General features: G+C 38.7%; 1 protein-coding gene and 1 long non-coding RNA gene across 17 annotated transcripts in view; one reads left to right on the top strand and one right to left on the bottom strand.

The window, feature by feature from the left end:
* The window catches only part of VEPH1 (ventricular zone expressed PH domain containing 1), a 243,864-nt gene that overhangs the window by 106,127 nt on the left and 124,190 nt on the right, over positions 1-13,547 (top strand). The gene's annotated exons all lie outside the window — the stretch shown is intronic.
* LOC101928236 (uncharacterized) overlaps positions 3,533-13,547 on the bottom strand; it is a 220,247-nt gene continuing 210,232 nt past the window's right edge. The window contains exon 10 of the long non-coding RNA XR_007096141.1: positions 3,533-6,933. This is a non-coding gene — a long non-coding RNA (uncharacterized LOC101928236). The remainder of the gene's footprint in view (positions 6,934-13,547) is intronic.

Raw genomic sequence — 13,547 nt, 5'->3', positions numbered from 1 at the left:
ACCATTAACATTCTTCACAGAATTAGAAAAAACTACTTTAAAATTCATATGGAACCAAAAAAGAGCCCGTATAGCCAAGACAATCCTAAACAAAAAGAATAAAGCTGGAGGAATCACGCCATCCAACTTCAAACTGTACTACAAGACTACAGTAACAAAACAGCAGAGTACCAGTACAAAAACAGACACATAGACCAATGGAACAGAATAGAGATCTCAGAAATAAGACCACGCATCTACAACCATCTGACCTCCAACAAACCTGACAAAAAGCAAGCAATGGGGAAAGGATTCCCTATTTAATAAATGGTGCTGGGAGAAGTGGCTAGCCATATGTAGAAAATTGAAACTGGATCCTTTCCTTATACAAAAATTAACTCAAGATGGATTAAAGACTTAAATGTAAAACCCAAAATGATCAAAACCCTAGAAGAAAATCTAGGTAATATCAGTCAGGACATAGTCATGGGCAAAGATTTCATGATGAAAATGTCAAAAGCAGTTGCAACAAAAGCAAAAATTGACAAATGGGATCTAATTAAAGAGCTTCTGCACAGCAAAATAAACTATCATCAGAGTGAACAGATAATCTACAGAATGGGAGATTTTTGCAATCTATCCGTCTGACAAAAGTCTAATACCTAGAATCTACAAGGAACTTAAACAAATTTACAAGAAAAAAAAACAAACAACCCAATTAAAAAGTGGACAAAGAACATGAATAGCCACTTCTCAAAAGAAGACATACATGTGATCAACAAACATACGAAAAAAAGCTCAACATCACTGATCATTAAAGAAATGCGGATCAAAACCACAATGAGATATCATCTCACACCAGTCAGAATGGCAATTATTAAAAAGTCAAGAAACAACAGATGCTGGCAAGGCTGTGGAGAAATAGGAATGCTTTTACACTATTGGTGGGAATGTAAATTAGTTTACCCATTGTAGAAGCCAGTGTGGCGATTCCTTACAGACCTAGGAGGCAGAAATACTATTTGACCCAGCAATCTCATTACTGGGTATATACACAAAGGAATATAAATCATTCTGTTGTAAAGATACATGCACTAGGATGTTCACTGCAGCACTATTCACAATAGCAAAGACATGGAATCAACACAAATGCCCATCAATGATAGACTGGATAAAGAAAATGTGGTACATATACACCATGGAATAGTATTCAGCCATAAAAAGGAATGAGATCATGTCCTTTTCCTTTGCAGGAACATGGATGGAGCTGGAAGTCATTATCCTCAGCAAACTAAAACAGGAACAGAAAATCAAACACCACATGTTCTCACTTAAAAGTGGGAGCTGAACAATGAGAACACATGGACACAGGGTGGGGAACAACACACACTGGGGCCTGCAGCGGGGATGGGGCAAGAGAGAGCATCAGAAAGAATAGATAATGCATGCAAGACTTAATACCTAGTGATGGGTTGATAGGTGCAGCCAGACACTATGGCACACATTTACCTATGTAACAAACCCGCACATCCTGCACATGTATCCCAGAAGTTAAAATACAATTAAATTTAAAAGAAAATTGGTGACACAGAGAAGGAAACAACAAACACTGGAGTCTACTTGAGGCGGGAGGGTGGGAAGAGGGAGAGGAGCAGAAAAGATAACTATTGGGTACTGGGCTTAATACCTGGGTGATGAAATAATATGTACAACAAACCCTCATGATATGTGTTTACCTATGTGACAAACCTTCACTTGCACCCCCAAACCTAAAATAAAAGTTAAAAAAAAAGAAAATTGGTGACAAAGAAATTTTTGGGAAGAGATATGTGGATGGACCTGAGTGGCCAAAAACTGAAGATATTTGTGTCCCCTGTGTACACTCAGCAAAGGATGACCTTGGAGAGGAGGATTTTAATAATCAAGTGGATATGATGACCCACTCTGTTGACACCATTCAGGCTCTTTCCCCAACCACTCCTGTCATCACACAATGGACTTATGAACACAGTTGCCATGGTGTCAGAGAAGGAGGTTATTCATGGGCTCAGCAACATGGACGTCCACTCACAAAGGCTGATCTGGCTACTGCCATCGCTGACTGCCCTGTCTGCCAGCAGCAGAGACCAGCAATGAGCCCTCTATATGGCACTGTTCCTTGGGGTGTTCAGCCAGCTACCTGTGGCAGGTTGATTACATTGGACCACTTCCATTATGGAAGGGACAGGATTTGTTCTTACTGGAATATTCTTACTCAGGATATGGATTTGCCTTTCCTACATGCAATTCTTCTGCCAAGAGTACCATCCATGGACTTGCAGAACTGCCTTGTCGACTGCCATGGTATTACACATAGCATTGCTTTTGACCAAGGAACTCACTCTACAGACAGAAATGCGGCAATGCATTCGTGATCATGGCGTTCACTGGTCTTACCATGCTCCCCTTGATCCTGAAGCAGCTGGCTTGAGAGAACAATAGAATGGCTATTTGAAGTCATAATTACAATGCCAACCAGGTGACAATACTTTGCAGGGCTAGGGAAAAGTTCCCCAGAAGGCTGTATATGCTCTGAATCAGCATCTAGTATATGGTACTGTTTCTCCCATAGGTAGGATTCATAGGTCCAGGAATCAATGGGTGAAAGTAGAAGGGACACCACTCACAATTACCCCTAGTGAGCCACTAGCAACATTTTTGCTTCATATTCCCATGACATTATGTTCTGCTGGCTTAGAGGTCTTAGTTTCAGAGTGAGGTATGCTGCTCTCAAGATAGTAAGTTCTCATGAGATCTGGTTGTTTAAGTGTGTGGCACCTTCCCACCCTTGTTCTGCATTCACCATGTGATCTGCCTACTCCTGCTTTGCCTTCTGCCATGAGTAAAGCTCCCTGAGGCTTCCCACAGAAGCAGATTGCAGAACTATGCTTCATGAACAGCCTGCAGAACCATGAACCAATTAAACCTCTTATAAATTACCCAGTCTCGAGTATTCTTTATAGCAATGCAAGAATGGACTAACACATGACTCCTCTATGAGACAGATACTGTGATTAACCCCTTTTAATAAACTGAGCCATGCAAGGTTAAATAACTTGCCCAAGGTCCATGTCTGGTTAGCTACAGTGCCAGATTCAAACTTAGGAAAAAGCTTCTGAACCCACTTTATAAACAACTATATTATTGCACTTGCCTTCTCAGACAAATAAGGCACAGCTAGGAAGGCTTTACATGGTACTACTACCTTTTCATTCCTCGAAGGTAAAATTTGCCATATTAATGTTTATCCAAAGAAAATCTTTCACATGTATTGACATTTTGAACAGTCGACACTTTCCTTGCTAGTCCCTTACCCATCAATTCTACTTTGCATGCAGTAAGAAAGCCTCTTGAAACCCAAATGCCGGATAATATCTCTGGGATGGAGAAACTTAACCCATCACTCAGACAGATCAGCTGAATCTAACAGAAAGGTGGTGCTAGCAGGGTTTTAGTAGCTTTGTCTCAGTTGTGGTTCTGGATTTTCTAAAGTGGCTCTAAACCCACCAGCCAATGAGAGTATTTGAGATTTTATTTTAAGGCTTAATATCTCAAGCTCTGAACAAACAACAAAACCGGAGGTAACAAAAGTCTTCCAATAGAATAGGAAAAACAATCATATACCTGCAGTATATAGAAATTTACCTCCTCCAGAGTGATGACCGCTGGTTAAAAATGGCTTTTAAAACCTGATATTGGTTTCTCTGCAAGGGAAGTATGAAGAAGAAAGAGAGATGGGGTAGGAAGGGGCTCACAGATGCTGCCAATGTTATTGATAATTTCCTGTTACATTACATATATTTATATATATTATTTCGTATGTAGCATATATTCCATAATGTCAAAGAAAAATACAATCATTGAATATTTGCTATGTGCCAAATAGTATACCTGATATTGAAAACAGTAATCTTTATAATAAAACATTCAGGCTGTACTAAGTAACTTATTTTTAAATTCATTGATATTTCTGGCATCATCAGATCATACTAAAAATAATACTAATAATAACAATTCATTGATAGCATTGTTTTGTCACCTACTCTATGCTAGATACTTTACAATTATTTTTTCATTGTTCCTCACAACATCATGAAGAAGTTGTGTCAGCTAAGATGAATTTGGTAATAGCATTTGCAACTAAAGCTGATTCAGAAGAAAAATATTTATTATCTCCTATAACAAGAAGCCTGGAAAACAGGGTGGGTCCCAGGTTTGTTCAGAAGTTCCACAACATCATCAAGAACTCTTGATAAGCTTCTTTCTATTCTCTCTCTACCATCATCATTATATTTGAATTGGTCCCATAAACATACCCTCACACTTGCAAAGATAACTGCCCAGATCCAGGTAGTGCATATAGGTACAACAATGTCTGGTTAAGGAACAGGAATGTGTTCTTCCATCTCTTTTTATCTGGGAGGAAAACATTTTTCAGTAGTCTTCTACCCCAGAAAACTTCACATCAGGTCCAGTTGCCCAGGATTAAATCACATACCCATGCCCTAGTTTAAAAGGAGCCTGAGAAATAGAATAGCTATTTTCACTTTATAGCAGGCTGGGGGTTATACCAATAAGAAAGAAGGGGATAGGGTGAGATACAATTAGTGATAGGCAATCAAAAGTATCTGCCGCCGAACTGTTAGCTCCAATCTACAGATGAAGCTTAGGCTCAAAGTGGTTAAATAAGATGCTGTGCCTTTTAAATGCACCATTTAGACCAAGCTTGTCCAATCCACAACCTGTAGGCCACATGAGGCCCAGGACAGCTTTGAATGCAGCCCAACACAAATTCATAAACTTTCTTAAAACATTATGAGATATTTTGTGATTTTTTTTTTAGATCATCAGCTATTATTAGTGTTAGCATAGTTTGTGTGTGGCCCAAGACAATTCTTCTTCTTCCGATGTGGCCCAGGGAAGCCAAATGATTGTACACCCCTGATGTAGACCATTGATATAGTTTGGCTATGTCACCGCTGAAATCTTATATTGAATTCCCACATGTGGTGGGAGGGACCCGGTGGGAGGTAATTGAATCATGGGGGCATATCTTTCCCATGCTGTTCTCGTGATAGTGAATAAGTCTTATGAGATCTGATGGTTTTAAAAAGAGGAATTCCCCTACATACGTGCTCTCTCTTTGCCTGCTGCCATCCATGTAAGACATGACTTGCTCCTTCTGCCATGATTGTGAAAATGGACTAATACAACCATTTACATTCAAGGTTGATATTGATATATGAGGTTTTGATACTATCATGAAGTTGTTAGCTGGTTGCTTTGTTGTTTCTATTGTGTGGTTGCAGGCTATGTACTTAAGTGTGTTTTTGTTTTATTATTTAGCAGGTATCATTCTTTCATTTCATGTTTAGAACTCCCTTAAGGATCTCTTCTAAGGCTGATCTAGTGTTAACAAATTCTCTTACAGCTTCCTTGTCTGGACAATATTTTATTTCTCCTTCATTTATGAAGCTTTAGTATGGCGGGGTATGAAATTCTTGGTTGAAATTTCTTTTCTTTAAGAGTGCTAAAATAGGCCCCCAATCTCTCCTTGCTTGTTTCTGTTAAGAAGTCTGTTAGCGTGATGGGATTGCCTTTGTATGTGACCTGCCCTTTTTCTCTAGCTGCCTTTAAGATTTTTCTCTTTAGCATTGACTTTGGACAATCTGGTAGTTACATTCCTTGGTGATGTTCATTTTGTATGGTATCTCACAGGCATTCTCTGGATTTCTTATGTGTAGATGCCTACCTCTCTAGCAAGATTAGGAAAGTTTTTGTGAATTATTCCCTCAAATATATTTTCCAGGTGTTTTACTTTTTCTCCTTCTTTATCAGGAATGTCTGATTGGTATGTCACTTTACATAATCCCATATTTCCCAAAGACTCTGACCTGAGTCTTTGGACTGCACAGTGTCTGTGCAGCCATGCCGCTGGTAATGGCTGACTTTATATGTACCTGGATTAAAAATGGCATCCCGCCATCAGTCCCAGGTCTGGGAAAGTGCAGTTTTTCCCATTGTCTTTCCCTCAGAATATCTCCAAGAGCCTCTCCCCAAGTTAGCTCTAGGGCTTGAAAGAAACAAACTGCTCTCCCTCAGCTTGGGTGGCTTGGATCCCCAGTGGAAAAATGAGTCACAAAGGAGGCTCTCTGCCTCTCATGTACTGATGACACAGGATTCTTTTGGTGCTGCTTTGGCAGCTGGAAACCTCTATGGCCAGTGGCACCTCTGCCCAAGTTTTCCTTGTGACCATTGGGCTGGCTCTGCCCACTCAGCCTGGCAGGCTGTGCTTGACTCACACTACTGGCCCAGACCCCATGCCCACCACAGGTGAGACAGGCGTGGAACGGCAAGGGGTGTGTGAGTGACAAAGTACAAGATCTGGCCGCAGCAAGCCAGGTGCACCAGCTGCTGTGGCAGGCAGCTCCAGGCATCAGCAGAGTTGCAAGCTCCATGCAAGGCTGTGGCTGGACCAGGCATGCCTCAAGCAGCTTCCGCTTTGGGCGCTGGCATCTGGACAAGAGGAATGTGGTGGTGCCCAAAAACTTGGAGATGCCAGCAACCATGGAGCCCCGAGGGGATGTTACAGCGTGTCACAGCTCTGGCTCAGGGAGTCCTGAGGTCTGGGCCTCCAGAAGGGTCGCAGCTCTTTTCCCCTAGTCTGGCAAATGGGAACAGGTCACCACCCACAGCTTGGTGGGCTGGCCAGAAACATGTTTCAGCTTTTATCAGCCAGATGCTGTCATGGGGGCTTTATTCCAGCATTTTCCTCTCCAGGATCTGGGGTATCCTTCATGATTCTGGTGGAGTCCCATTCTCCTTCTTGAATTAAAGCTCACAGAGCTGATCTTTATGTACTATCTTGCTATTTCCAAATGGCTGAGGCACTCTGAAAATCCTCTAATCTGCCATCTTAGAAAACAAAACAAAACAAAACAAAATGAGGTGTTTTTTAAAAAATGGTCACAAATAACCAATTCATAACCAACTCCAAAAATAAAACAAGTTTCAATATCTCCACTTAACACTACTTAATAAATGTCTTACCAAGCACATCAGGATCCATTTGAAAAAGGATTAGTAGAAAAGTTCCTCCTTTGACTTTCTTAAAATTACAATTCTCATTCTATGAGATTGGGATTGGATTCTCATTCTATGGGATTGGAATTATAATCGTAACCCTAACTCATTGTCCCAAACCAAATGGATCTTTTCTTTTTAAAAATTACATTGTTCAAACTTTTTTTGTCTTTTATTGTGAGAACCAAGAAAGTAAAAGTATTTCAGCATATGCCAGTGCTACCCACACTTTTCATATTCTTCTATAAACAACCAGGTTGCAAGTGAAAAGCAAATGACTGTCCCCAGTCTTCAATCTGCACACCTGAGTTGGGTCACATTTATAAAACAATATGTAATGGAGAGAAGAATTAATATGTGGATGGAAAACAATGCTCACATGGATTAGGATGATTAGTAATTTGCTAATGAAAGAAAAGCCCAATTAGTGCAAAGGCAATAAGAAAATCTGCCCATGGTAGCCAAGTAGAAGGGAAGATAAACTGGAAAATATGCTGAAGACCTAAAATCAAATAAAATTTCAGCTGACCTCAGTAAAGCTGATCTTGCATCTCTCTGGGCATGACTGCAAGGAGTTTCATAGAAATTCATCCCCTAATGCTTTGGAAAATCTTTTTCCTTTTACAGAAGATCCACAAAGATCTGAAATCCATCAATGGATTGGTCCATCTATGTACGCATTTCTATCTATCTATCTATCTATCTATCTATCTATCTATCTATCTATCTATCTATCTATCTATCTATCTGCTTACCTATCCATCTATTTACCTATCCATCCATCCAGCTCTGTGATTTTATATTTTCAAATTTACCTACTTGCTAAAAATGTCTTTGAAAGCACTATAGTATTGATTTGGGGTTACAAAGTCATTCACAGATGTGCACAGAGTAGCAAAAAACTTCAGTTGTCCCCAGCTGAGGTTGAACAAAGTGATGCCCTGCTGTCTTGGTTCAGCTCTCATACTGTAAACAAGTATCTATTCTTTTCATGGCCTCTTTATTGCCACATTTTTCTTATCTTCATGCTTTTTTTTGTTTGTTTTTGGTGATTTCACTGTTTAAAGTGTCCCCCAAGTATAGTACTAAAGTGCTCTCTAGTGTTCCTAACCACAAGAAGACTGTGATATGCCTCATGGAGAAAATACATATGTTGGATAAGTTTTGTTCAGGCATAAATTACCTTGCTGTTGGCCATGGGTTCAAATTTAATGAATCAACAGTATATATTAAATAGCTTTAAACAGAAACACACATATAACAATGTTATGTATGAATCAGTTAACAAAAATGTAACCAGAGGCTTGCAGGAAACTAACCCTGAATTTCCTCTAGAAGCAATACTTCAGTATTGTCTAATTCAGGGTTGTAATTTTATGGAACATAGCTACTTGTTATTCCCAAATAACAAGAATCAACATATTATATATGGTCATCCCTCAATATCTGAGGAAAATTGGTTCCAGAACCCCCGTGGATACCAAAATCCAAGGATACTCAAATCACTTATATAAAGTGGCACAGGACTTGCATACAACATATGCACATCTTCCTGTGTGCTTTAAATCATCTCTAGATTACTTATAATACCTAATACAATGTAAATGCTATGTAAATAGTTGTTATTCTGTGTTTCTATTTGTATTATTTTTATCGTTATATTGTTTTCTATTTTTTCCAAATATTTTGACCTGCAATTGGTTGTATTTGTGGATGTAGAACCCTCCAATATGGAGGGCCAACTGTATCTGTATAGGGAAGCATATAGAGTGATATATCATCATATTCACCTGCAATATGAGTCTATTGAACAGAGTCCTCTGAGTTGAATTTTCTACCTGCCTACATTCTCCAGAGGAGGGTGGTCAACTGTCCTGATTTGCCCATGATTAAGGAGTTTCCCAGGACAAGGGACAAGAGGCTTGCAGTTCTAAAACTGGGAAAATCTTGGGGCAAAGAATTGCTCCCCCAGTACCAGAGTTTCTCACAGCCAAAGAAGCATTGGGGTGGGAGGAGAGTCTAGTACAAACCCTTCAACTCTTGGTCTGGAGCTAAGTCTCTTCAATTAAGAAAGAGACTCTCATGGAATAAATACGCCCCCAGGCAGTTAAGCATCACTGGCCACACTCAGGCTTTTGAAGGCTCCTAAGAAAAGCCTGGAGTCACTCTGGCAAAGTTCCATTGAGAGAACATTAACAAAAAACTCATTTGCTTTACATTTCTAATGGCCCTTGCAAGTGTATCTTTGATGTGTGTAGAGACTTCAAAGAGTTGAACTATGAAGAAAGATTGTGTTTAAATCAAATGGTGTAAAATACAAATGCCCGGGAAATGCAATATTTTCATTCAGGCAACTAATATATTATTATTTTTTTACATTTGTAAAGTGATAAAAGACAGGGGAGAGAAAAATGTGGATTATAGGGCCAAATCCACATTTCCTACATCAGCAAATTCTCAAATTCTCAGAGATTTAGGACTCCACATAGACCAGTGATTCTCCTTTGGCTGCACATCTGAATCATCCAAGGGGTTTAAAAATTCCTATGCCTGAGCTCCACCCATTTCAATAAAATTGAACAGGAATTGGGAAGCAGGAGAGATTTACGTGGCATTAGAATAGTTTTAACAGCTTTCCAGGGGATTCTAATGTGCAGCCAGTGCTGAGAACCACTCACAAGGAGGACAGCACTGAGAAAGAACATCAGGAAACTTCTGGGTTCAGCAGGGAAGAAAGAATGCTATCATCAGCTGGTGACGTCTACCACAGGTGGAGTACAGAAAGGAGGGCTGCAGCCTACAGAGCTGCCCTAAATGGTTTTTATCAGCCCTAGTGATGTGGAAACATTCAAACTCTGGAATCAGATGAATCTTGATTTAATATTGGCTCTGCCACTTATAGCTATATTATACCTGTGCAACTTTAGTGAAGTTACTATCCCTCTTTACATCAATATCCTCATCTAGATACTCATTTTGCAAGGTCATTGTGAAGATTAAGTTAAAATGCATATGTCAAGTACCAGACATACAGTGGATGCTTAGTGAATGGAAACTATTGTTATTATCCAGACCCCCACATTTTCATGTTTGGCCATTTTCTGAGTTGTGTTCTGTTTTTCTGACAAAGGATAGCAGAGCACCTTTATGAAACTGGAGTAGTAGTATTAAAAAAACAAAATAATAAAAAGTGAAAAAAATGGCCAATGCAATTTTGCAAACATATAATCTAGTTCAGGGGTCAACAAATTACTGCCTGTGGGCCAAATCCAGCCACATCCACTAATTTACTTATTGCTTTTAGCTCTTTTCCCACAACAAGAGACCATCTGACCCACTAAACTGGAAATATTTACTGTCTGTTCCTTTAGAGAAAATATTTATTTGACTCCTGATCCTGAGTTCATCAATACTCAGCATGGTCCATGGACACCAAGACCTTTTCAGGGAATCTGTAAGGTCAAAGCTATTTTTACAATAATACTAAGACATTATTTACCATTTTCACTGTGTTGACATTTGCATTAATAGAACAAAGCAATGGTGGTTTAAACTGCAAGTGCCTAGGCACAAACCAAGACAAGACAGTGGCACCACACTGTACTCGTAGTCATATTCTTTACCACCACACGTTTGCAGGACAAGAAAAAAAGAGCCAGTTTCTCCTAAGTCAGTGTTTCTCAGCCTTGGCAATATTGACATTTTGGACCAAACAACTCTCGGTTGTGTGGTTGTCTTGTGCATTGTGGGGTGTTTGGCCTCTACCCACCAGATACCACTAGCCCTCCCATTCTCCTAGTCGTGACAAAAATGTCTCCAGACATTCTCCAAATGCCCTCTGGGGAGGAAAAAAATCACTCCTCTCCCTTTCTTTTCCCCACTGCCTCCCCCTGGAAACCACTGAATTAACCTGATGAAGCAGTAGAAATTATTAATTTTATTAAATCTCAATCCTGAGTACACATCTTCTTAAGTTTCTCTCTGGCTAAATGGGAAGGATTCATTGGCTTGGCACTTATGCTGCTGATTGAAATACAGAAATTCAGTGGTTATCTTAAGAAAAAAAAACCTTGTGTTATTTGCCTATGTGCCAAACTAACCACTTTTTTTTTTTTTTTTTTTTTTTTGTGGAACCATTTTTACTTGAAGTAACAACTAATGAACAATCTATGATTATTTGTTTGGGGCTGTTTGGTAGACATTATCCAGAAAATGAATGAAGTGAGCCTTTCATTTCAAGCAAAACTACTGATGCTAGTATTTGCTGCCAGTGATACAATTTGAGCTTGCAAATGAAAATTGGAGTTTTGGAAAATCTATTATCTGCCACTGTGAACTTGAAAGTTTCCCAATACTTAAAAGACTTTTCTGATGAGATCAGTGGTGAAAATAGTGAATGCAATGTTTTTTATATTATATAATGAAATGCATCAAACTTTGGAAGATATGCCTAACACAGTAAACCCATATTTTTCCAAATGACTAATGCTTAATATTTCAAAGTCATGCATAGGTAAAAGATTTAATCAAAGTGCAAGACAGACCAGTGGATTTTAATGTAATAGGATACAAAGTTAATTAAAGTCACATATCACAACTAACCTTTGAGAAACTACTTGTTGAGTTTTGGTGTAGCGTCCAAGAAGAATATTCACAATTATCAAGGCTATTTTGAAAATAGTCTTCCCTTTTCTAACTTCAAATCTTTATGAGGCCAGATTTAACAGATCAAATACAGAAACATATGAGAATATAGATGTCATCTATTAACAAGTTACTAAAGAAATTTGCAAAAATATAGAGGAATGCCAGTCTTCTCACTAAATTTTTTGTTTTTGAAAATGTGATTTTTTAATGAAAATATACATTTTAAAAATTGCCTATTTTAACTTCCAATATGGCCAATACCAATAGATATAAACCAGATAACAAAAACTCTGGGATCTTTGATCATTTTCAAGAGTGTAAAGCGGTCCTAAAACCAAAAGATTTGAGAATTGCTGATCTATTTTGTATATACAGAGTATTTATAATATTTATATAACTAAATTAAAAATAGTTAACAAAAAAGACCACATAACTCTGATGATGAATGAGATGTAGGAAAAAGGAGTGGAAAAATATGTGCATAGGTCATTTAGTTTTTTTTTTTTTTTTTGATGGGAGGAGCTGGCAGTATAGCAAGTGAGGGTCTAGATGTAGAAACAGGGAGGGCATATGTGGCCTTGAGCAAGTTAGTCTCCTATCTGTGCTTCAGTTTCCTCCTTGTTAAAGTGGCAATGATTCTAGTACTTATAGCATTATTTGGAGGATTATATGAGTAAATACCTGAAAAGAGTATAGAATATGCTTGGTGCTTAGAGTAAGTGCCCTCTCTGGGCCAGCTATTTTTGTTTAATAATAAACAATGAATTTGTGTCAGCAGGGATAAGGTCAGACCCACAATTAAGGCTTACAGGTGCTGACCCTACCCCTCAATGGGGTGACTGAAAGCAGGAAAATCCAGTCACTAGCCCTCAGAGGCAAAATATCATGAAGCTGAGAAGGAAATCAGAATCTCCTAACCCCCTTCCTGCCCTAATATTACACTTTCTAATCCAAAATCACATCTGTTACCCCTGTGAGGTACATGGATGTGCTCCAAGGTTTCAGAACAAATGATGTGAGGTTGGCTTGGTTTCATACTTTAGTTCCAGAGCAGTTATAATTTTTCCTGTTCCTGCACTGTGATTAATTTTCCCTTCAACTCAGTTGGCTGCCAGCGATCATTCAGAATTATGTTGATTTCGGCAAATACCCAAACAACGACCTTCACCTTTTAAAAGACACATGCTTTAAAGAAGGGGCTTGCAAATTTTTATAGTGAGAAGGATTCTTAATGAAACCATGGGGACACTTATTGCATAAGCAAATGAAATGTTTGTGAAACGGTTTTTAAAAATTCTAATGAAAAATCTACTTCTGAAAGTAAGGAAGTTACCTCAAATTTTAAATTACATCTTAGTAGGACAAACAGCATATAAAATTCAGTTCCTGTATCTTCCTACCACCCTATATCAAGCAGGATAAATTTATGGTAATTGTTTTCTAAGGTTACTGAGAATGTTGAGTTTAGAGTCTGAAACCTTGCCAAATTCAAATGTCGCCTTCTCTCTGAGATGTGTCCTAAGTACACTATTTACCATTGGCTCCCCCTTCTGCTTCATTTTCCTTTGAGGCACGTTTCTCCATCTAACACACTATACATTTTACAAAGATATTTTGTTTATTGTCTGTCTGCCTCATTATTGTGGCAGGAATTTTTGTGCTTTTTCTTCAGTGATATGTTCCTGACTTCTAGAAGGGGGTCTGGCATATGGTAGGGACCCCCCACATCCAGCTTTTACCTTTAAATCAGGAATAGAAAATGTCCCTTGATGCATTGCATATCATGAATTCACACATGG

Source organism: Homo sapiens, chromosome 3, assembly GCF_000001405.40.
Source record: "Homo sapiens chromosome 3, GRCh38.p14 Primary Assembly".
In the NCBI taxonomy this organism is placed as follows: Eukaryota; Metazoa; Chordata; class Mammalia; order Primates; family Hominidae; genus Homo; species Homo sapiens.
This window is presented reverse-complemented; position numbering and strand designations above follow the sequence as displayed.